Here is a 26032-nt window from a genome sequence, read left to right on the forward strand (position 1 = left end):
CTCATAGTTATTGAGCCATATCCTAGAATCAGTAGGTAGGTTTCTTTTGCCTCAAAAGTGAGAAATCCATTCCTCTGTCTGTTTTGCATTGTTTGGATGAGTAAACTCTCCTCTTTTCATTTGTTATTCTCAGTAGTAAACACATGTGGGTCAGGACCCCTCTAAAAGGCATCCATTTCTCTTCTCCAGCCTCTAGTGAACTCCAGTCTGCTCATGATAGTGTTTTTGAGGCAAGTCCTTCCTCATAGTTAACTGCGTACTCAAAGTCTGCTCTGAAGGATCAGCTTTCCAGACAGGAGGAGACACGATCTATGGAGAAGCCTTATGTTTACTCCATTTTTCCAAGGAGATCTTACTTGGGGGAAGCACTGGCCCTCCACTAATGGAACTATGTTCATCCCCACTTGGCTCCTTAGTGTCTGTTCTCTACTGACTATAACCCAGAAGGAATGTGGATATTATTGTATTTTTAATAGGCTTTATTTTTTAGAGCAGTTTTAGGCTCACAGCAAAATTGAGCAGAGATTACAGAGAGATCTCAAAAATCCCCGCTCTCTACAACCTACAGAATGGGAGAAAATTTTTGCAATCTATCCATCTGATAAAGGTCTAATATCCAGAGTCCACAAGGAAGTTAAACAAATTTACAAGAAAAAAAACAAACAACCCCATTAAAAAGTGGGTAAAGGACATGAGCAGACACTTCTCGAAAGAAGACATTTATGCAGCCAGCAAACGTATGAAAAAAAGCTCAACCTCACTGATCATTAGAGAAATGCAAATCAAAACCACAATGATTTACCATCTTATGCCAGTCAGAATGGTGATTATTAAAAAGTCAAAAAACAACAAATGCTGGTGATGTTCAGAGAAAAAGAAACACTTTTACACTGTTGGTGGGAATTTACATTAGTTCAACCATTGTAGAAGACAGTGTGGCAATTCCTCAAAGATCCAGGAGCAGAAATACCATTTGACCCAGCAATCCCATTACTGGGTATATACCCAAAGGAATATAAATCATTCTATTATGAAGACACATGCACATGGATGTTCACTGCAGCACTATTCACAATAAAAAAGATGTGGAATCAACATAAATGCCCATCAATGATAGACTGCATAAAGAAAATGTGGTACATATACCATGGATACTATGCAGCCATAAAAAGGAATGAGATCGTGTCCTTTGCAGGGACATGGATGGAGCTGGAAGCTGTTATCTTCAGCAAACTAATGCAGAAACAGAAAACCAAATAACACATGTTTTCACTTATATGTGGGAGCTGAATGATGAGAACACATGGGGGGAACAACACACACTGGGGCTTGTTGAGGGGGTTGAGGGACGGAGAGCATTAGGAAGAATAGCTAATGGATGCTGAGCTTAATACCTAGGTGATGGATTGATCTGTGCAGCAAACCACCATCGCACATGTTTACCCATGTAACAAACCTGCACATCCTGCATATGTACCCTGGAACTTAAAATAAAAGTTGATGAAAAAAAAATCCCGGCTCCCACACACTTCCTCTATGACCAACATTCCACACCAGAGTGGTCCATTTGTTAGAATTGATAAACCTATATTAACACATCATGGTCACCCAAAGTTCAGAGTTTACATTAGGTTCCCTCTTGGGTTTGTATGTTCTATGGCTTTTAACAAATGTATAATGACATATTTCCATCATTATAATATCATACAAAATAGTTTCACTGCCCTAAAAATCCTCTGGGCTCTGCCTGCTCATCCCTCCCTCCTCTCAATTCCTGACAACCACTGATCTTTTTACTGTGTCCATAGTTTTGCCCCTGTTAGAATGTCATATAGTTGGACTCGCACAGAATGTAGCTATTTCAGATTGGCTTCTTTCACTTAGAAACATGCATTTAAGTTTACTCCAAGTTGTCTCATTGCTTGATAGGTCATTTCTTTTCAGTATTGAATAATATTCCACTTTCTAGATGTACCACAGTTTATTTATTCACTCACCTAATGAAAGACATTTTGATTGCTTCTGAATTTTGATAATTATCAATAAGGTTGCCATAAACATCCATGTTTATGTGCAGGTTTTTGTGCGGACTTAAGTTTTCAGCTCATTTGGGTAAATATCAAGGAGTGTAATTGCTGGATTGTATGGTAAGTCTTTTTATTTTTGCAAGAAACTGCCAAACTATCATCCAAAGGGGCTGTACAGTTTGTACAACTCCCACCTGCAATGAATGAAAGTTCCTGTTGCTCCGTACCCTTGCCAAGATTTAGTGGTGTCAGTGTTTTGGATTATGGCCATCCTAATAGGTGTGTAGTGGTCTCTCACTGTTGTGTTAATTTACAATTACCTAATGACCTATCATGTTGAGCATCTTTTCATAAGCTTACTTGCCATCTGTATATCTTATTTCGTGAGGTTCCTGTTGCAGTGTTGTGTTCATTTTTTAATCTGGTTGTTTGTTTTCTTTTTGGTGAAGTTTTAGAGTTCTTTTTATATTTTGATAACAGTCTTTATCAAATATGTCCTTTGCAAATATTTTCTTCCAATCTGTTGCTTGTCTTTTCATTCTCTTGAAAGTGTATTCCACAGAGCATAGATTTTTTTCCCTTCTCTTTCACAGAAGGGAACAGCATGGAAGAACATACATTTTAATGTTAAGGAAATCAAGTTTATCTATTATTTCTTTCATGGAGTGTGCCTTTGATATTATACCTAAAACTCATTACCATACCAAAGGTCATCTAGATTTTCTATGTTACCATCTACATTTATAGATCTGTGTTTTACATTCAAGTCTATGATATGTTTCGAGGTAATTTTGTGGAAAGTTTTAAGGTCTATGTATAGATTCCTTTTTTTTTTTGCATCCATGTGGAGGTCCATATGTTTTGTCATGATGTATAGTTGAAAAGATTATGTTTGCTCCATTGTATTGCCTTTATTCCTTTGTCAAAGATCAGTTGACAATATTTTTGTGGGTCTATTTCTGGACTCTATTCTGTTTGATTGATCTCTTTGTCTAGTCTTTTACCAATACCACATTGTCCTGATTATCGTAGCTTTACAGTAAGTCTTGAAGTTGGGTAATGTCAGTTCTCTGATTTTGTTTCTCTCTTTCAATGTCGAGTTGGCTTTTCTGGGTCTTTTGCCTGCCCAAACAAATTTTTAAATAAATTTGTTCATATCCACAAAATAACTTTCAGGAATTTTGATTGGGATTGCATTGAATCAAGTTAGGAAGTACTGACATCTGACAATACTAGTCTTTCATGAACATAAAATATTTCTCAATTTATTTAGTTCTTTTATTTATTTCATCAGAGTTTTATAGTTATTACTCAAATAGATCTTGTATATATTTTTGTTAGACATATATCTAAGATGTTAATTTTTGTGGTGCTAATGTAAATGGTGCTGTTTTTAATTTCAAATTCCATTTGTTCACTGTGGCACATAGGAAAACAATTGACTTTTGTATATTAATCTTGTACCTGCCATCTTACTCACTTAGTAGTTGTTCCAGGAGTTTTTTTTACATGATTCTTTTAGAATTTTTACCGATACAATCATCTTATCTGTAAACAAAGACAAATTTATTTCTTCCTTCCTAACCTGTATACCTTTTATTTACTTTCCTTGTCATAATTCATTAGTTGGACTTCCAGTACAATGTTGAAAAGAAGTGGTAAGAGGAGGCATCCTTACCTTGTTACTGATCTAGAAGAAAAGCTTCTAGTTTTTCACCAATGAGTACAATGTTACCTGTAGGATTTTAGTAGATAGTTTTTATGCAGTTGAGGAAGTTTCCACTCTATTCTAGCTTGCTGATAGTTTTTTATTTTTAATCATGATTGGGCATTGGATTTTGTCAGATACCTTTCTGCATCTACTGATATGATCATGTGATTTTTCTTCCTTAGCCTGTTGATGTGATGGATTACATTACTTAATTTTTGAATGATGAACTAATCTCATATATCTGGGATAAATCCCACTTGGTCATGGTCATGGTGTATCCTTTTTATATGCTGTTTAATTCAATTTGTTAATACTTTGTTAAGAATTTTTGCATCTATGTGCATGAGAGATATTGGTCTGTAGATATTGGTTCTATAATGTTTTTGCCAGATTTTGATATTAGGAATGCTGACCTTATAGAATAAATTGGAAAGTATTCCTTCTGCTTATGTCTTCTAGAAATAGCTGAGAAAATTGTATAATTTCATCCTTAAATGTTTTGTAGAATTTATCAGCGAATCCACCTGGGCCCAGTACATTCTGTTTTGGAAAGAAACACTGATTCAATTTCTTTAATAGTTATAGGCCTATTCATATTATCCACTTCCTCTTCTGAGTTTTGGCAGATTGTGTCTTTCAAGGAATTGGTCCTTTTTATCTAGGTTATTGAATTTGTGGGAATAAAGTTGTTCATAGTATTACTTTATTATCCTTTTAATGCCCATGGGATCTGTAGCAATGTCTTCTCTTTTATTTCTGATATAAGTAATGTGTGTCTTCTCTCATATTTTTCTTAGTTAGTTTGGCTAAAGGCTTATCAATTGTGTTGATCTTTTCAAAGAACCAGGTTTTTGTTTCATTGAATTTATTGATTTCCTGTTTTTAATTGTACTGATATCTACTCTAAATTATATTACTTTTTTTCTTCTGCTTACTTTGAACTCAATTAGCTCTTTTCTTTCTAGCTTCCTGAGGTGGAAGCTTAATTTATTCATTTTAGATCTTTCTTTTTTTCTATTAAGAAATATTATCAAATGCTATAAGTTTCCTTCTACTCATTGCTTTTGCTGCATCCCATAAATTTTGATAAGTAGTATTTTCATTTTGTTCAAAGTACTTGTATTTTTTATTATTTTATTTTATTTTATTGAGACAGAGTCTCACTCTGTCACCCACACTGAAATACAGTGGTGTGATCTTGGCTCATTATAGCCTCTGCCTCCTGGGGTAAGCAATCTTCCCACCTCAGCCTCCCAAGTAGCTGAGACTACAGGCATGCGTCACCACACTCAGCTAATTTTTATATTTCTTTGTAGAGACAGGGCTTCATCATGTTGCCAGGCTGGTCTCAAACTCCTGAGCTCAAGTAATCTGCCTGCCTCGGCCTAGCAGAGTACTGGGATTACAGGTGTGAGCCAACATGTCTGGCTGTTCAAAGTATTTTTACCTTTCTCTTGAGAGTTCTTTGATTTGGTGTTATCTAGAAGTGTGTTGTTTAATCTTTAAGTATTTCGGGATGTTAAAGCTGTTTTTCTGTTACTGATTTTTAGTTAAAATTCATTGTGGTCTGAGAGCAGAGATTGCATCCTTTCAAATTTATTAAGGTATGTTTTATGGCTCAGGATATAGTCTGTCTTGGTGAATGTTCCATATTAGCCGGAGCAGAATTTGTATTTTGCTCTTTTGGGATGAAGTAGTCTATAAATGTCAATTATATCCAGTTGACTGATGATACTGTTGAGTTCAACTATGTCTTTATTGAATTTTTGCCTGCTGTCTCTGTCCATTTCGGATAGACAGGTGTTAAAGTTCCAACTAGAAAAATGAAAGTTATCTCTTTCTCCTTATAGTTTTGCCAGTTTTTAACTCATGTGTTCTTTTTTTAAGAAAAAGGGTCTGGCTATGTTCCCCAGGCTGGCCTCCTGGGCTTAAGCAATCCTCCTATTCAGCCTCCAGAGTAGCTGGGACTAAAGATGCATACCAATGAGCCTGGCTTGACTCACGTATTTTAATATTCTTTTGTTAGGCACAAATACATTAAGGATTGTCATGTCTTTTTGAAAAATTAACCCTTTTATTATTATGTAATGCTCCACTTTATTCCTGATAACACTCATTGCTGGAAGTCTGCTGTCTGAAATTAATATAGCTAATTTAACTTTCTTTTTATTAGTGTTAGAATGGAATATCATTCTCCATCTCTTTCCTTAATCAATATGTATCTTGTAAAAAACACATAGTTCGGTCTTATTTTTGACCCACTCTAGCAATCTCTGTATTTTACCTAGTGTATTTAGACCATTGACATTTAAAGTGATTATTGATATATTTGGGTTAATATCAATCATGCTTGTTCCTCTTTGCTATTCATTGCCCTTCTTTGTTCCTACTTTTGTCTTCCATTCTTTTCCTGCCTTTTGTGGTTTTAATTGAGCATTTTATATGATTCAATTTTCTGTTAGCATATCAATTATACTTCTTTATAAATTTTTGTAATGGTTGCCTGAGAGCTTACAACATGCGTTTACAACTAATACAAATCCATTTTCTTTTCTTTTTTTTTTTCTTCCTTCTTTTGCCCAGGCTGGAGTGCAGCGGTGTGATCTCGGCTCACTGCAACCTCCGTCTCCTGGGTTCAAGCAATTCTCCTGCCTCAGCATCTTGAGTAGCTGGGATTACAGGTGCCTGCCACCATGCCCGGCTAATTTTTTGTATTTTTAGTAGAGACAGGGCTTCACCATGTTGGCCAGGTTGGTCTCAAACTCCTGACCTCAAGTGATCCACCCACCTCCACCTCCCAAAGTGCTGGGATTACAGGTGTGAGCCACTGTGCCTGGTCAAAGTCCACTTTCAAATAATACTATATGGCTTTATAGGTAGAGCAAACACTTTATAATAATATTTCTAATTCCTCCCTCCCATTTCTTGTATTATTGCTCTCATTCATTTCCCTTAAACATAAGCTATAGTCATAAATACATTATTGCTATTATTAATTTGAACAAATTGTTATCTATTAGATAAATTAAGAATTTAAAAAATTTTATCTTTGTGTATTTCCTTTCGAATATTCTTCCTTTTTTACATAGATGTGAGTTTCTGATCTACATCATTTTCCTTCTCTCTGAAGACCATCTTTTAACATCTCTTGCAAGCCAAGTCAACTGGCACAAAAGTTCTTCAATTTTTGTTTATCTGTGAAAGTCTTTGTTTCTCCTTCACTTTTCAAGGACAGTTTCACAGGATACAGAATTCTAAGGCTGGTGTTGTTTTTTTTTTTTTCTCTCTCTCAACATTTTAAATATTTCATGCCACTCTATTCTTGCTTCCATGGTTTCTGATGAGAAGTTGGATGTAATTCTTACCTTTGCTCTTTTATGGGTAGTTTTACCTCTGTCTTCTTTCAAGATTTTTTCTTTATCTTTGACTTTTCTGAAGTTTGAATATGATATGGCTAGGTGTAGTCTGTTTGGACATTTACCCTGTTTGGTCTTTTCTGGGCTTCCAGAATCTGTGACTTGGTGCTTGACATTCATTTGTGGAAATTCCTAGTCATTATGGCTTCAATTATGTCTTCTATTCCTTTCTGTCTTCCTTTTCCTTTTGATATTCCCATTTCATGTATGTTACACCTTTTGTAGTGACCCCACAATTCTTGGATATTCTGTTTCATTGTTGTTCAGTATTTTTTTCTCTTTGCTTTTCAGTTTTAGAAGTTTCTACTGGCATATTCTCAAGCCCGGAGATTCTTTCTCAGCTTTGTCCAGCCTACTAATAAGCCCATCAAAGGCATTCTTCATTTGTTACAGTGTTTTTGATATCTGGCATCTCTTTCTTACAATTTTCATCCTGTTTATAATACTCATCTGTTCTTACATGTTTTCTATTTTTTTCCGTTAGAGATCTTAGCATATTTAACATAACTTTTAAATTCACAGTCTGATAATTCCAATATACCCTCCATATATGAGTCTGGTTCTGATGTTTGCTCCATTTCTTTAAACTGTGTTTTTTGCCTTTTAATACACGTTGTAAATTTTAGTTGAAAGATAAACATGATGTACTGAGTAAAAGGACCTGTGGTAAGTAAGACTTTAGTAATGTGGTGATAAGGTGTGTGTGTTGGGGGTGGGGAGAAAATTCTATAGTTCTATCACTAGATCTCAGTCTTTTAGTAGGCCTGTGCCTCTGAGCTGTGAATGTCAAAAAATGCTTTTCTGGTTTTTTTCACTCCCTTAGTTGGTGCAGGATGGTTAGAGGAGGCCAGAGTTGGATATTTTCCTTCAACTATGTGGAAGGCTAGAGGAGGCTGACTAGAGTTGGGAACAGAACTTCTCCATTAAAATCTTACTATCAGTTTTTATGAAGTTAGCAGTCTTGGAAGTTTAGATCAAAAATAACATCCCAGAGACTTCCAGTTTCCATTTCTACATGTAAGGATATTAGAAGTCATCACTCTGTCCTAAAAACAAATAAAAAGCTGAAGAAACTGAAAAATCAACAACTCTTCTTAGATCCATCAGATCTAAGTTGGTTAGGCTCTGATAAAAACATGTGTAGGTTAGGCTCTGATAAAAAATTTTTTTTTGGGGGGCAGACTTTGTAAGAAGAACAGAATACTGTGGTATATTTCACAATGGTTACCCTCCTCTTTCCTTGATACTTTCCCTCTCCTCCTGCTGGTTGGCTGCAGAAGGTAAAACTTAAAAAAGTGTGGGCCTCTCCCATCCCATAATTGGGGACCTCCTCGACTTTTCCACACAGAGCTTTAGCCAAGTTTTAAATTACAATTCAGGTTTTTGTACCCTGCTCCTGGTTCCCAAAGAGGTTTTCATTCCTGTAAGTTATGATTCTCTGAATCTGTCTAATCACTCCTATTTTTTGGGCAGCAGTTTGCCCTGTGACTCACTTCTCTGATGGATTTAAGAAGAATTGTTGATTTTTCAGTTTCTTCAGCTTTTTATTTGTTTTTAGGACAGAGTGATGACTTCTAATCTCCTTACGTGTAGAACTGGAAACTGGAAGTCTCTGGGATATTATTTTTGAACCTTAAATTTCCAAGACTGCTAACTTCATAAAACTGATAATAAAATTTTAATGGAGAAGTTCTGTCCCCAAGATTACTTAAAAATCATAGTTGGACATACAAGAAAACTTTAATTCATTTAAAGAAAAAAAGCTTCATAAAAATATATTAGCATTTTTGTTAAAAGTAGGCTGAAAAGAAACAAAAAGGAATAATATCTTAAGCTCTAAATCTACTGTCCTAGACTATCCATTTATTTGGGATGAAGCAAGCCATTCCCCAAATGAGGTATGCAAACAGTATGATATTAAATGTGATGAGACTGATTTCTGTGTGCATTTGAGAGTTTAGATTTCTTATTTAAATTTAACTTGTACACATGTGGTATTGGTGAATTAACTATTATTTATAGAAAAACATGTTGTTCTATTTCCTTTTATTATCCAAACTCTATGCAGTTTTAAGAAATTATTTTGTTGTTTCATTCTGCTTACACATGGTTGTACATTACTTATTCCATGATGCGGCAGAGTGGGATTACTAACAGTGGCATGTTCTAAGCATACCCAGAGATTGAGATTCTATACTTTGTGTATAAAGGAAACAGTGTGAATGTAGGGAGTGTGTTGAGAGAGAGGGACAAACAGAGAGAGATTGATTTCAAAAAAGAGAGTGCAAGAATATGCACCCCTAAATAGAAACACAGAAAATCTCCTTTTCCTATAAATGTCTCCAAAACTGCAAAATCAAAAATGAAAGAAAACAAAGGGGGAAATGAGTTATATCTAAACCTGCAGTTTTAGTTCTGATGTTCTAGAACTCCTCAATTAGTTCCTGAGCAAACTGTAGTCCACACTCAGTGAATAATTTTGGTAAATAATACATTTCCCTCTCTTCCACAGACCCTGGCCCTACTCCTAATAACTGCTTTGTAGAAATGGCCTACTAAATAGACCAAGTCATGGGAACATATGTATATTTACAAAGGAGTCCAATCACTTACACTGGCAGATGAGGACTATTCAAGTTCACAGAAAACTTTGATTCAAGGCCATCAATATACTGACGTAAATTAAAAAGCAACCTTTACTAATGAAAAAAATCAATGAATAAAATTTGCTTCAAAAGTTTAAAGTTAGCAAGCAGCAAATAAGAAAATAAAAATTTAAAACTTCAATTACTTGTGCTTCATCATTTTTAATCAATTTTTTGTTCTCTATAGGGAACAAAATTCTATATACTTCTGGAAGCCAAAATCTCTTTCTCTCATAGGTTTAATCAAACAGAATATTTAGAAAAACATACACAAGAAAATCTCTTTATAAGTATTTGCTGACAACAACACTATGCTTTAAAATTGTAGTGGGAAAGCAAGTGTTATACAACTTTTTACAAGGTTGCTGCTGTTTTAAAACTTAGGGCCCAATTTTAATAAGAAACATAATTATTTCCAAAATTATAATGTTCTTTCTAGCTAACTTAAAACTAAATGTCAAAGTAGGTTTTAAATAAAATCCTTTAATCAATGATGTTTCTAATCCCAAAAATTTAACATAAAAAAGTATGACAAATATTAAAACATACACCTCCTAGGCAATATTTTGTTTTTGTTTTTATCTTTGAAAGATTCAAGAAAATATTTCCTCTTTGTTCACATATTGCTTGTAACAAAGCTGATCATCTGATCTGGAGTATATTGATTAAGTAGTGTCTTTGTTGTCTCATGTTTTAATATTTATCAAACATATTTCTCATCTTCTCTTCATTTACATTTTTTGTTTCACATACCATTTGTAATAATTACATTCAATACTCCTCTTAGAGGACAAGAAATGTATGTCTCCTTTTTTGTCTGTGGTTTTATTTCTTCTGTATCTGATAAGACAGTTTTAGTTTCTTCCTGTGCAGTATTATTAGGATCAATGAGACTCTGTAGTAAAACAAGAAAATCTTTAAGGAACCATACTTTCTGTATAATTTTATGAATGAAATAAACCACCAAATTTTAGAATTAAATTTATATTATTACTGTCAATGCGAGGAATCACAGATACAAAAGAAGATTCATGCTCCATATCAGTAGCTGTTTGGGGATGTAACAGCAGTGTATTTTGCAAGGTACCTTGATTGAACCTTTTATAGACTTGGGTCCCCACTATTTTCAATCATTTGTGTATACTGAATAAAGGTGCCTACAGTTTGGGCACAATAATTAAAAGTGTCCATCCTCTGTATACATCCCAAAGATTATTCACCAAAACTTTTGTGAAATGAAAATACAACTCAATTAGAAAGGAGGTGAAATATAATTTTACTTGGATTCATCTCATTTGATAAATTTATATAACTGAAAGAAAAATGAGAAAAACATAGGTCAAGCCTTCGGAAATTCAAGCATGCTTCCACTAATATTTATAGATAACATATTAAATAGTGCAAGGGTATACCTTAATCTCCCAGGCCTTTTAATGGTAGCCTGATTATGAAACTGCTGATTTTGAAAAAAAGGAATCTTTGGTTTGTGAGAATATTGAGAAACTTCTTCCAATGTAAAAAACAAAACATAAACAATGATAACAACAACAAAACACCAGAGTAGAGTTAACTCTGCAGTAGAAATCTCCAAATTTGCCTTATGATTGTCATGGGTGGGTGGGTGTGGGGGTGTGTGTGCCAGCAATTTGAGTGACTTGATAATACTTTGAGTGAGTGAAAGAGGGAACATCTTATCATCACAGGAAACAATAAAAAGGCTAGAGTGCATGGACACATTGAGGAAGGGAATTTTACATGTAATGACTAAGGAGACAGAGATATCAAGGCAGCTGATGGTTAAAAATGAATTATGTAGCTCTTTAAGATCAAAGTTCTTCAAATCTGATCATAATTAACCTATTGGAGTTCTGGTATAGAGGCAGGCTTTTTCTGAAAATTCTGTTACTATATAAAAGGGATAAAGACACAATGGTGAATTTTTATTAAGGTGGGTGAAAGGTCATGTAGAGTAAAACCATATTATTTTAAGTTTTATTATTTTAGAATTTGTAATAAACTGATGTAGACTAAGATGACTTCTTCACAGATAATTAGAATCAATGGTGAATATTTAAAATATTTTTAAAAATGACTTTTTGACCCTTAAGAACTGTAGAAATCTCTATTTTAAAAAAATACGAAATTTACAATTCTAATTATGAGCAATTATTACTAAGTAAAACTAGATCAACAAAAGGTCTAACGACTTGCTCTATATATCTATAAAAATAAAAAACTTGGGTCTCTTCAAAACACACAGCACAACATTTTAATTAATCTAGACTTATCTTTACCTCTGTTAGTTTAAGTTACTGAGTTTTCCCTGAATGTGGTGAGAAATAATAAGCGACATTTCTTCTTATTCCTAAAATCTGTGCTCTTTAGCTCCAAAATGCTCTATAGTCACACCTTTCCATTTGTTTCATTATTTCTGCTCATTTCCTAGGACCCATTACAACTAGCTATTTTAAAATTTACCACTTTTCATTTTTAACCAGATATATAAAAGAAACCTATCTAATAAGTAAATTAGGAATAAATTTTAAGATCAGGTTGATTTTATATCATATATTACAGTATACTTTTAAGTTTTTACCTGAGGAGTTGTAGATGTTTGGAAGTTTTCATCCTCCAAATGTTCATTTTTTGATTCTGTGGTATGCATGCTAAGATTTAAAAGAAAAATACTTTAAAAGAAGAAACAAGACTATAAATCCATATGAAAACAAACATGGTTAAGTGGGATTAATTTTTTAAAGGATTTTTTGTTCTAAAGTTGTATCACAGTCAAGTCAGATATCTTTATAGTCAACATAGATCCAAATATTCATCTTTAACATTATTAACCAAAGCCATATGCATAAGTTTTAAAAACCATTATCATACAGAAATGTAATATTTCTCAACAGTTCATAATGCTGGCCCATATCATAGAATCATGTATCAGAAAATGCAGAAATTTATTTTATGCACTGAACTGGTGTGTTTGAGTTAATATCCACTGTTGATTTAATCTATCTTCTGTCATGCTCTTACATAAAACACTCCAGAAAAATTTTAAATGAAATATGACCAACTACATTAATACCTACATCTATAAGTTACTGATACATACTATCTTTTTATGTGGCCCATTTGAAGGATCTGTAGGTCCAACATTTAAATATATCTATAAAGTTTTATTTTGAAGAAGAATAAACTAGATGAATAAAATAATAATTACTTATAACTTTTATTTTAAAGTATCTGTTGTTTCTACCTCCTCTGTAATCTTTGCTAGCTTCAAATATAAGTAGGGTAACTTTTCTTAAAAATATCTTCTCTCAATTTTTGAGTTGTTGTTAAGAACAAAACTAAAGATTTCAAGTTTTAATTTTTAGATAGTCTTATTACCATATCCTGTAGTGCTTCAAGTATCTATACTTTTCTAAAAGGAAAACAATTTTAATAATGAAAATTGTTAACGAAAAGGAACATTAACAGTTGAGTAGCTACCATATGCTAGCTGCTTTACATCTATTGTCTTACCATAATGAAGTAAAATATTACTGCATAAAATCCTATAAAGAATCATAACTGAATTTATAACATTATTAAAGCAAAAAATAACCTTTAAAAATTTTGATCAGAAACTTAGATCTAAATTCCTTTAAAGTGTAGTTCCATTTTGATTGAAGTGACTGTCAAAATAACTATCTTGTCATTAGAATGATGTATTAGTCCATTTTCATGCAGCTATGAAGAGATACCTGAGTCTGGGTAATTTATAAAGGAAAGAGGTTGAATTGACTCACAGTTCCACATGGCTGGGGAGGCCACAGGAAACTTAAAATCATACTGGAGGGGACCTCTTCACAGGGTGGCAGAAGAGAGAATGAGTGCAAGTAGGGGAAATGCCAGACACTTATAAAACCATTAGATCTTCTGAGACTAACTCACAAGATCCAGCTACCTATACCTTGTCCCACCCATGACATGTGGGGATTGTTATAACTCAAGGTGAGATTTGGGTGGGGACAGAGACAAATCATATCATTCTGCCCCGGCCCCTCCCAAATCTCATGTCCTCACACTTCAGAACACAATTATGCCTTTCCAACAGTCCCCCAAAGTCTTAACTAATTCCAGCATTATCTCAAAAGCCTAAGTCCAAAGTCTTGTCTGAGACAAGGCAAGTCGCTTCTGCCTATGAGCCTATAAAATCGAAAGGAAGTTGGTTACTTCCTAGGTACAATGAGGGTACTGGGAGAAATTGGCCAAAACAAAGAGGCTACAGACCCCATGCAAGTCCGAAATCCAATAGGGCAATCAGTAAACCTTAAAGTTCCATAATGATCTCCTTTTACTCCATGTGGCACATCCAGGTCACGCTGATGCAAGAGGTGGGCTCCCATGGCCTTGGGCAGCTCCGCCCCTGTGGCTCTGCAGAGTTACAGTCCCACTCTCTGGTGCTTTCACAGGCTGGCATTGAGGGTCTGCTGCTTTTCCAGGCACATGGTGCAAGCTGCTGGTGGATCTACCATTCTGGGGTCTGGAGGATGGTGGCTCTCTTCTCACAGCTCCTCCAGGTAGTGCCCCAGTGGGGACTCTGTGTGGGGGCTCCAACCCCACATTTTTCCTTTGCACTGCCCTAGCAGAGGTTCTCCATGAGGGCTCTGCCACTGGAGTAAACTTCTGCCTGGATATCCAGGCATTTCTATATACCCTCTGAAATCTAGGTGGAGGTTCCCAAAGCTCAGTTCCTGAGTTCTGTGCACCTGTCGGCCTAACACCACGTGTAAGCTGCCAAGCCTTGGGGCTTGCACCCTCTGAAGCAATGCCAGAGCTGTACCTGGCCTCCTTTAGACATAGCTGGAGCTGAAGCAGCTGGGATGCAGGGCACCATGTCTCAAGGCTGCATAGAGCAGGGTGACCCTGGGCCTGGCCCACAAAGCCATTTTTCCCTCCTAGGTCTCCAGGCCTGTGATGGGAGGGGCTGCCACAAAGGTCTCTGAAAATGCCCTGGAGACATTTTCCCCATTGTCTTGGTGATTAACATTTGACTCCTCATTACTTATGCAAATTTCTGCAGCAGGCTTGAAATTCTACCCCCTTCCCCAGAAAATGTTTTTTTTTCTATTGCATCATCAGGCTGCAATTTTTCCAAACTTCTATGCTCTGCTTCCTCTTGAACACTTTGCCACTTAGAAATTTCTTCTGCCAGATATCCTAAATTATCACTCTCAAGTTCAAAGTTCTACAGATCTCTGGGGCAGAGGCAAAATGCCACCAGTCTCTTTGCTAAAGCATAGCAAGAGTGACCTTTACTCCAATTCCCAACAAGTTCCTCATCTCCATCTCAAACCACCTCAGCCTACACTTCATTGTCCATATCACCATCAGCATTTTGGTCAAAGCCATTCAACAAGTCTCTATGAAGTTCCACACTTTCCCACATCTTCCTCTCTTCTGAGCCCTCCAACCTGTTCCAACCTCAGCTTGTTACCCAGTTCCAAAGTCGCTTCCACATTTCTGGGTATCTTTATAACAGCAGCCCACTCTGTGGTGCCAGTTTACATTAGTCCTTTTTCACGCTACTACAAAGAAATACCCGAGACTGGGTAATTTATAAAGGAAAGAGGTTTAATGGACTCACAGTTCCACATGGCTGGGGAGGCCTCAGGAAACTTACAATCATGGCAGAGGGCAGCTCTTCACAAGGCAGCAGGAAAGAGAATGAGTGAAAGCAGGGGAAATGCCAGACAATTATAAAATCATCAGATCTCATGACGTGATCACATCAGATCACTCATTATCATGAGAACAGCATGGGGAAACCACCCCCATGATCCAGTTACCTCCTCATTGTTCCACCCCTGACACATGGGGATTATTACAATTCAAGGTGAAATTTGGGTGGGGACACAGAATCAAACCATATCAAATGACTACCTTGTCATAAGCTGTTAGATTATGAGGTAATTGGTAAGAATAAGGGAGGTAGGTGAATCACCTAAGTTGTGTCATGTTCTGAATAGACAGACTGGGAGTTAGAGCCATTAAAAAGTTTGAGCTGAAGTGCACATAAATTTTGAGGAGAGGACACAAAATTAATTTACACACTTAATAATTTTTGAATGCCTACTCTTCTGGCCTCTGAAGGCAAAGCAGCCAATCAAAACAAAATAAAACAGAAATATAGGCTTCTGTTCTCATGGATCTTATACTCTTGTTAGGTGGAAGGGGAAGATTATAAAAAACATTTTCAGTACTGCAGAAAATAAATGAGGATCATATTATAGAGATCAAGGTGACATTTGAACTGTGTCCTAAATGAGGAGAAGCTGTGAGTCATAAGTAAGCAGATGGACAAGGAGCAGGCAAACATAACACCAAGAATCATACAAATGGAGACATCAAGCGACTAGGCAGCATATTTTAAGATATGTAACTATAATGATTAGGATAGCAGGGCTTGGAACCCAGGCAAGCAGACTATGTATTAGAACTTCAAAACCTAAGTAAGGGGTCTGAATAATAGATGCACAGGTTAATAGCTATAAGAGAAGCTTTATACTGAGTCAAGCAATATTTGTGACTGGCAGTCACTCAATACCCTCTTTATATATCTGCCAAGAGTGGAATTGGTAGGTGGTATGCCTAAAAGCAAGGACTTTGAGTTGAGAAAGAAATGTATTCAACTCTTCTCTTATCTTTTCATAACTGTGGGAAGTGATTTATCTCCACTGGCCTCAATTTCCTTATCTGAAAAAATATATAATAATGCTTAGTTTATTGGTTATCATAATAATTAAATTATAATAGCTAATGCCAGTTGAACTATATTAAGCACTTAACATGAATCATCTTCCTCAATTCTCTCAACAACTCTATGAGGTATTTAATACTATTATCCCCATTTTATAGATGTTCAAACTATGGATGCAGGAAAGTTAAGTAATTTAACTTTCAATATGGTCATATAACTAGCAAGTGGGGAGCTGGAATTTAAATGAAGTACTCTTTAATATTACTCAGATCTTTGTCAACTTTAGTATTGTCTCTTTTTTCTTTTAACTGTTGTGGTGACATTGCATTATGAATTTAAATTGCATTTCTATAATGAGCATTTTTTCATATATTTACTGGCCATTTGAATATCTTCTTTAGTAAAGTGTTCAAATCTCTTGTCCATTTTTTTGTTGTACTGGATCCCATTTTCATACTGATTTGTTGGAGTTCTTTTTAGGTATTAAAAATGTAAATCTTTTATTGGATATATAAAGAGCCAATATCATCTCCCACTCTGTGTCTTGCTTTTTTACGCTGATAATACCTTTTTTAAAAGATACTTTAATTTGGCCCAATTTATTCTTTCCTTTCTTTATCCTTAGAGCTTTTGTTGTTTAAGAAATCTTTGCCAACCCATGTAGGAGAATGTTTATTCTCCTATATATTCTTCCACAAACATTATTGTTTTGCTTTTCACATAGGAAAGGAACAACAACAGGTCTATGGTCTATGAGCCATCTGGAATTGAATTTCATATATGGGATGTGAGGAAGAGATCAAAGTTTATTTTTCCCATATCAATATCTAATTGACTCAGCACAATTTATTAAAAATATCATCCTCTATACATTGTATTGCAATGCCACTTTTTTTTGTAAATCAGGTAATCACACATATATGAATTTATTTTCATATTCTATCCTGTTCCACTGGCCCATTTGTCTATCCTTAGGCTAACATTATGCTAGTGCTTGTATTTTTTTTTCTGAGATAGGGTCTTCCTCTGTCACCCAGGCTGGAGTGCAGTGACACAATAATAGCTCACTACAGCCTCAATCTCCTGGGCTCAAGTGATCCTCCCACCTCAGCCTCCTAAGTAGCTGGGACTACAGCCACAAGCCATCATGTCCAGCAATTTTTTTTTTTTTAAATTTTTAGTAGAGTCGAAGACTCACTATATTGCTCAGGCTGGTCTCAAACTCCTGAGCTCAAGCAATCCTTTTGTCTCAGCCTCCCATAGTGCTGACAGGCATGAGCCATTGTGTCTGGCCAGTATAACAGATATTGACATCTGGTGTTGGTGTACATTCTCCACTTTTGTTGTTCTTCAGAATTGGATTGACTTTTTGATCCTTTGTATTTCCACATACATTTTAGGACCAAGTTGTCAATTTACACACACACAGCTGGAATTTTGACTGAAGTTACATTGAATCTATAGATTAATTTGGGGAGAACTGACATCTTAACAATATTGAGTCTTCCAATCTTTGAACACTGTATATTCCTCCATTTATTTAGATTTTCTTGATCTTAATAATTTTTTGTGTTTTCAATGTACAGAACAGTATGTCTTTCATTAGGCTTATTTTTAGGTATTTTATGTTTTTTGGATGGTTATAAAAATTATAACTTTAAAAATTCATTATTTGTTTCTTGCTGGCATACAGAAATATGAATAATTTTCATTCATTTCACTTTGTATCAGGCCTTGATAAATTCACTTAATTCTAATAGTCTGTAGATTTGTTTGGATTTTCTAAGTACATACATACACAGTCAGCAAATATAAGTTTTATTTCTTCCTCTCTAAATTTTATGTATTTTTCTCCCTTTTTCTTTGTTTTTCTGGCTTTAACCTGCTGTTACAGTTGTTCTAAATCATTGCTAACCTTGGTATTGTCTGTCTTCAGAATTTGTTTTAATATAGATCTGTTGGCGATAAATTCCTTATTTCTTTGCCTGAAAAATATCTATACTTAACCTTCACTTTTGAAAGTGATTCTTATTAGATATAGGTTAGAGTTTATTTTCTTTAAGTACTTTAAAGATGTTCCACTGTATTCTGGCTCCCATAGTTTCTGTTAAAAATTTAACTGTCATTCTTGCTATGATTCCTTTGATAATAATAATATCTTTTTTACTTTGGCTGATACTAATCACAATTATTTTAAGCAATTTTCCTGTGGTAAAATATGCATAAAATTTACCATTTTAACCACTTTAAAGTATATAGTTCCAGGGGCATTATGTATATTTGCATTGTTAAGCAACCATCACCACCATCCATCTCCAGAACTTTTTCATTATCTTGACCTGAAACTGTGTATGTATTAATTAAACAATAACTTCCCATTCTCCCCTCCTCCAATCCCTGATAGCCACCATTCTCCTTTCTGTCTCTATGAATGTGAATATTCTAGGTACTTTATATGATTCAAGTCATACAATATTTGCCCTTTTTTGTCTTGCTTATTGCACTTATCATGCCTTCAAAATTCATCCAAAATTTATTCAAAATTCTGTACATGTTGTAGCATGTACAGAATTTCCTTCCTTTTTAAAGGCTGAATAATATGCATTTATATGTATATATCACATTTTGTTTATCCATTCATCTACTGATAGACCTTTTGGCTATTGTGAATAATGCTGCTATGAAAATAGGTGTACCAATATCTGTTTGAATCCCTGATTTCAATTCTATTTGGTATATACCTGGAAATGGAATTGATGGATCATATGGTAATTCTATGTTTAATTTTTGGAGGAACCATCATCATATGGTTTTTTTTTTTTCACAGCAGGTACATCATTTTATATTGACATCAACGATGCACAATGATTCCAGTTTCTCCACATGCAGGCAAACACTTGTTATTTTCTGTTTTTTGGTAATAGCCATCCCAATAGGTGTGAATGGTATCTACTGTAGTTTTCATTTCCACTTCCCTAATGATTAATGAGGTTGAGTATCTTTTCATGTGCTTACTATTTGCATATATCTTTTTTGGAGAAATGTCTCTTCAAGTCCTTTGTCCATTTTTATTCTTATTTTTTTGAGACAAGGTCTCATTATGTCACCCAGGCTGGAGTGCAGTGGCACAAACATAGATCGTGCAGCCTTGAACTCCTGGGCTCAAGGGATCCTCTGCCTCAGCCTCCCAAGTGGTAGGACTACTGGTGCACACGTCCACACCCAGCAATTTATTTTTTTGTATAGCCAGGGTCTTGCTGTGTAGCCCAGGCTGGTCTCAAACTCCCAGCCTCAAAGTGCTGGGATTATGGGCATGAGCTATTGTACCCAGCATCTTTGCCCATTTTAAAATTGGGATGTTTGTTTTTTTCCGTTGCTGAGTTGTAGGAGTTCTTTATATACTGTAGGTATTAATATCTTATTAGTAATATGCAAGTATTTTCTGTAAGTTGCCTTGTCACTCTGTTGATAGTGTCCTTTGTTGCACATAAGTTTTAAATGTTAATGTAGTCCAATTTATCTGTTTTTCCTTTTGTTGCCTGTACTTTTGGCATCATAGCCGAGAAGTAAACTGCCAAATCCAATATCATGAAGCTTTCCTTCTATATTTTCCTTTAAGAGTTTTAATATTTTTAGTTTTTATAATCGTAGTTATTGTAACCTCTTTAACTCAAAAATCTGGATCCCTTTTGAGTCTGTTTCCCTTTTCAATTTTCTATCTTGGCTTAAGGTCATATAACATTGTCTAATACTATGGTTCACAATTTTTATTGAAAGTTTGACATTGTGTACAAATTGTACAGTCTCCAGATGATAACTTCTTTTGGAAAGAAATATGTGGAGTAGGGGGAGTGAAAAAATCACTTTAACCAAATCAGAGATTGAGCTCAGTTGATAGCTTTGTAATGCTCAGTTTTATTTCAATTTGTCCTTGTTCCTCAAGTATAGTCCTTTAGGGATTTTGCCCTAGGTGATTTCCTTGATAAATTATGGCAGTGTCACTTGATTCCTCCCATATCAGGCATTGTATTATTCTGTTTTCACACTTGTTCTATAAAGAACTGCCCAAGACTGAGTAATTTAAAAAGGAAAGAGGTTTAATTGACTCACAATTCAACATGGCTGAGGAGGCTTCAGGAAACTTACAATCAAGTGGAAGGTGAAGGAGAAGCAAGGACCCTCTTCACATGGTGGCAGAAGAGAGAAGTGCAAGCAGGGGAAAATGCCAGATGCTTATAAAACCATCAGATCTCATGAGAACGCATTCACTGTCTTGAGAATAGGACGAGGGAAACTGCCCCCTTGATCCAGTCACCTTCCTCCCTTGACACATGGAAATTACAGGTCTCTTCCTCTACACATGGAGATTACAATATGAGATGAGATTTGGGTGGAGACACAGAACCAAACCATACTGTTCTGCCCTTGCCCTCCCAAATCGCATGTCCTTTATACATTTCAACATCAATCATGCCTTCCCAACAGTCCCCCAAAGTCTTAACTCATTCCAGCATTAACTCAAAAGTACAAGTCCAAAGTCTCATCTGAGGCAAGGCAAGTTTTCAAAACCAATCATGCCTTCACAACAATCCCCCAAAGTCTTAATTCATTCCAGCATTAACTCAAAAGTCCACAGACCAATGTCTCATCTGAAACAAGGCAAGTTCCTTCCACCTATGATTCTGTAAAATCAAGAGCAAGTTAGTTACTTCCAAGATACAATGAGGGTACAGGCATTGGGTAAATATTCCTGTTCTAGATGGGAGAAATTGGTCAAAACAAAGGGGCTATGGGCCCCACGTAAGTCTAAAATCCAGTGGGGGCAGTCATTAAACCTTAAAGCTCCAAAATAATCTCCTTTGACTCCATGTCTCACATCCAGGGCATGCTGATGTAAAGGGTAGACTCCCATGGCCTAGGGCAGCTCTGCCTCTGTGGCTTGGCAGGGTATAGCTCCATGCCTGGCTGCTTTCACAGCTGGCATTGAGTGTCTGCCGACATTACAGGGGCATGGTGCAAGCTGTCAATGGATCTACCATTCTGGTGTCTGGAGAATGATGGTCCTCTTCTCACAGCTCCACTAGGTAGTGCCCCATTGGGGACCCTCTGTGAGGGGGTCCAACCCTACATTTCCTTTCCACACTGCCCTAGCTAGAGGTTCTTCTTGAGGCTCCACCCCTGTACCAAACTTCTGCCTGGGCATCCAGTCATTTCCATACATCTTCTGAAATCTAGGTGGAGGTTTGCAAAGCTCAATTCTTGACTTCTGTGCACCCATGGGCCCAACACCACGTGTAAGCCACCAGGGCTTGGGGTTTCACCCTCTTGAAGCAACAACCTGAGCTGTACATTGGCCCCTGTTAGCCATGGCTGGGATGCAGGGAACCAAGTCCTGAGAGTGCACAAAGCAGCAAGGCCCTGGGCCTGGCCCACAAAACCACTTTCTCCTCCTAGGCTTCCAGACCTGTTATGGGAGGGGCTGCCATGAAGATCTCTGATATTTTCCCCATTCTCCTCATTACTTACGCAAATGTCTGCAGGCAGCTTGAACTTCTCCCCCAAAAATGGATTTTTCTTTTCTATTACATGGTCAGGCCACAAAATTTGCAAACTCTTATGGTCTGTCACCTCTTGAACGCTTTGCTGCTTAGAAATTTCTCCTGCCAGATACCCTAAATCATCTCTCTTGAGTATGAAGTTCCACAGACCTCTAGGGCAGGGGCAAAATGCCAGCAGTCTCTTTGCTAAAGCACAGAAGAGTGATCTTTGGTCCAGTTCCAATAAGCTCCCATCTCCATTTGAGACCACCTCAGCCTGAAATTCAGTGTCCATATCACCATCCAGCATTTTGATCAAAACCATTCAACAAGTCTCCAGGAAGTTCCAAACTTTCTCACATACTCCTCTATTCTTCTGAGCCCTCCAAACTGTTCCCACCTCTACCTGTTACCCAGTTCCAAAGTCACTTCCACATTTTCAAGTATCTTTATAGCAGTACCCCACTCTTCACAGTACCAATTTTCTGTATTAGTCCCATTTTCACACTGCTATAAAGAACTGCCCAACATTAGGTAATTTATAAACAAAAGAGGTTTAACTGACTCACAGTTCTGCATGGCTTAGGAGGCCACAGAAAACTTACAATCATGGTGGAAGGCAAAGGAGGAGCACGGACCTTCTTCACATGGTGGCAGGAGAGAGAAGTGCAAGAAGGGAACAGGCCAAATGCTTATAAAATTATCAGATCTCATGAGAATTCACTGACTATCTTGAGGACAGCATGGGGAAAACTGCTTCTATGATCCAATCACCTCTCTCCCTCAACATGTGGGCTTACAGGTCTCTCCCTCAACACGTGGGGATTCCAATTCAAGATGAGATTTGGGTGGGGACACAGGCCCAAACCATATCAGGCATACCTTACCATTTCCTAACTTGGTTTATTTCTACTGTCCATACTTTCCTATATTGGAAGAGCTGAATTAACATCTTCAATGTTACATAACTATAAATAAAGGAGTTGGAGCCCATCAGGCAGTCTGACTCCAGAGCCCATACTCTTAAAACTAAACTGCTTATAATGTGACAAGTATTCTGTGCAAGACACAGACTAAAGCTCTCATAAGAATTTATAGGCTAACATTTAGAAAATGCTGTAATAACTTAAATCTATAAAAGATTAAATGATCTACCAAGAAAAGAGAAAAAAATCCAACAACTATATGATTTTTTGACTTTTCCATTTTAGAAAATGAACTAGTACGAGTAACTTCTTTAGGAAGTAAAAAAGAGTCTTAAGAAAAACTTAAAAATAGAAAATAAAGGATGAATAAGTCACAGAAGGCTAAAATGGTTTAGAAATAGCCCATTGGAAATCAATTACAAAGCTGTTCAGACCCTTGGGGATTATGCCAATAATGCTATTCCATTGCCTCTGAGCAGCCCTATCCATGGTCCTTAACTCTCGAGTGCTTTCACTGAACACTCTGGAACTTCTGCCAGATGATTATCAAACTGTATTATATTCTCAACCTCTTTTCAAAGCATTCTCTCAAATTCTGTGCCCTATATGAAACCAAGCCCTTCCTTTAAGGAGGACACTGCTTCCCCTATAGTCCTCTCACATAACAGCAGTTTATTCACTAACATTCCTTCTGACACCCTACTGCTATTTCTAAAACTTCTTATATAAAAAAGAAACAAAATCCTTGCTTTTTTAAAGCTTGTATAATTTGACAATATCACCTTCCTCCCCTTCTACTCACTGTTACTTACTCACCTTATTTTGATCCCTTTCCATTATTCACCAAAGATGTTGGTGCTTGACCCCCATATTTGTAATCTTTTCATCTTACACACTTGGATAATTCATCTACTATCTTGTTTCTTCAGTTCTTTACTTCCTTTCTAATAAAGGAAAGACCACACTAAAACCTTCTATCATCTGAAATGCTCTATTATCGATAATCATGATTTCAAGCATCTACATCTCTGAATACTACTTCATCTTCTTTCAGTTCTCTTGTTCAGTTGTATTCACTTCATCCCCTCCAATTATTCTTCACTTTCATCAGGATGTGCAGTGTAATGAACCCTGTAACTCAAACTTTTGCCCTCTTCCTTCTTTACCTGTTTTTGTATTCAATACCTGTGATCCATCATCCTCAAAATACTGCTATAAATATCTTAAACTATCTTGAAATATCTTTGTTGCTTCATTGTTGCACATTTGTAGAAACACCTCAATCTAGGGATGCTGCTGCCCTACTTCCACTGATGCCCCTCCCCAGCTGACACACATGCACCCTTTTGCACTGCTGAGGCAGCTGGCATGTGTGAGCATGCAAAGATCCTCTTGCCACTACCCCAGTGAAGCACTCCAATGGGGGTAATTCCCCATTGGAGTACTGTGGCAGTGGACTAGGAATACCTTGGCTCCTGCAGCACAGCAGGTTCCTAACCTTGAGGGGCCAGAGAACAGAGCTAGGGGCCTGGTTTCAGCCCCCCAGAGCTACAGCACACAGCTGAGGAGAGCTCAGCTGAGCCTTGACCCCTTAAAATCTTCCAGAAATGAAGCCAGCCAACTGAACCCACCTTATACCACAACCAAACCCCCAAGGGCATCAAAGAAGATAAAAGCAAAAAGCCCCATCTATAGGACAACAACTTAAATGTTGAAGGAACATGAGCCCACACAGATGAGAAATAACCAGCACAAGAACTCTGGCAACTCAAGATGCCCGAGTATCTTCTTACCTCCATATGAATGTAGTTGTTCCTCAGCAATGATTCTTAACCAGGCTGAAATGACAGACATATAATTCAGAATATGGATAGAAATGAACATTGACATTCAGGAGAAAGTTGAACCCCAATGCAAGGATTCTAAGGAATACAATAAAATGATATAGGAACTTAAAAATGAAATGGCCATTTAAGAGAGAACCAAACTGATCTGATAGAACTAAGAAACTCACTACAAGAATTTCATAATACAACCACAAGTATTAACAGCAGAATAGACCAAGCTCAGGAAATAATCTCAGAGCTTGAAGACCATTTCTTTGAAACAACTGTCAGACAAAAATAAAGAAAAAAGAACAAAAAGAATAAACACCTCTGAGAAATATGGGATTATGTAAAGAGAACAAATCTACAACTCATCTATGTCCCAGAAAGAGAGGGAGAAAGAGTAAGTAATGTGGAAAACATATTTGAGGATATCATCCATGAAAATTTCCCCAATCTTGCTAGAGATGCCAATATTCAAATTCAAGAAATGCAGAGAACCCTTGTGAGATACTATACACAATGACCATCCCCAAAACACAAAGCAATCAGATTCTCCAAGGTCGAAATGAAAGAAAAAAGCATTAAAGGCAGCTAGAGAAAAGAGGCAGGTCATCTACAAATGGAACCCCATTAGGCTAAGAGTGGACCTTTCAGCAGAAACTCTACAAGCCAGAAAAGATTGAGGGGCCTATATTCAGCATTCTTAAAGAAAAGAAATTTCAACCAAGAATTTCTTATCTAGTTAAAAGAGGCTTCATAAGCAGAGGAGAAATAAGATCCTTTCAGACAAACAAATGCTAAGGGAATTTGTTACCACCAGATGTGCCTTACAAGAGGTCCTGAAGGGAGTGCTAAACATAGAAATTAAAGACTGTTACCAGCCACCACAAAAACACACTTAAATACATAGACCATTGACACTATAAAGTAGAAACTACACAATCAAATCTTCATAATAAACAGCTAGCAACATGATGACAGAATTAAATTTGCATATATCAAAGTATCAACTTTGAATGTAAATGAGCCAAATGCCCCAATTAAAAGGCACAGAATGGCAAGTTGGATAAAGAAGCAAGACCCAACAATATACTGTCTTCAAAAGACTCATCTCACATGCAATGATAACTATAAGCTCAAAGTAAAGGAATAGAGAAAAATCTACCAAGCAAATTAAAAAAAAAAAAAAAACC

At 36.4% G+C, this 26032-nt stretch overlaps 1 protein-coding gene across 4 annotated transcripts in view; it reads right to left on the reverse strand.

The window, feature by feature from the left end:
• SLC9B1 (solute carrier family 9 member B1) overlaps positions 1-26032 on the reverse strand; it is a 134657-nt gene that overhangs the window by 94199 nt on the left and 14426 nt on the right. For all 4 annotated transcript variants that reach the window (NR_047515.2, NR_047513.2, NM_001100874.3 and 1 more), the window contains exons 2-3: positions 12396-12465; positions 10553-10694 (exon numbers count right to left, since the gene is read on the reverse strand). Coding sequence is in view for 2 of the 4 variants with exons in the window: in NM_001100874.3 (NP_001094344.2) it covers positions 10553-10694; positions 12396-12464 (211 nt within the window). In the remaining 2 variants the exon portion in view is untranslated. The remainder of the gene's footprint in view (positions 1-10552; positions 10695-12395; positions 12466-26032) is intronic.

The sequence above is a fragment of the Homo sapiens genome, chromosome 4 (genome assembly GCF_000001405.40).
Source record: "Homo sapiens chromosome 4, GRCh38.p14 Primary Assembly".
Lineage (NCBI taxonomy): Eukaryota > Metazoa > Chordata > Mammalia > Primates > Hominidae > Homo > Homo sapiens.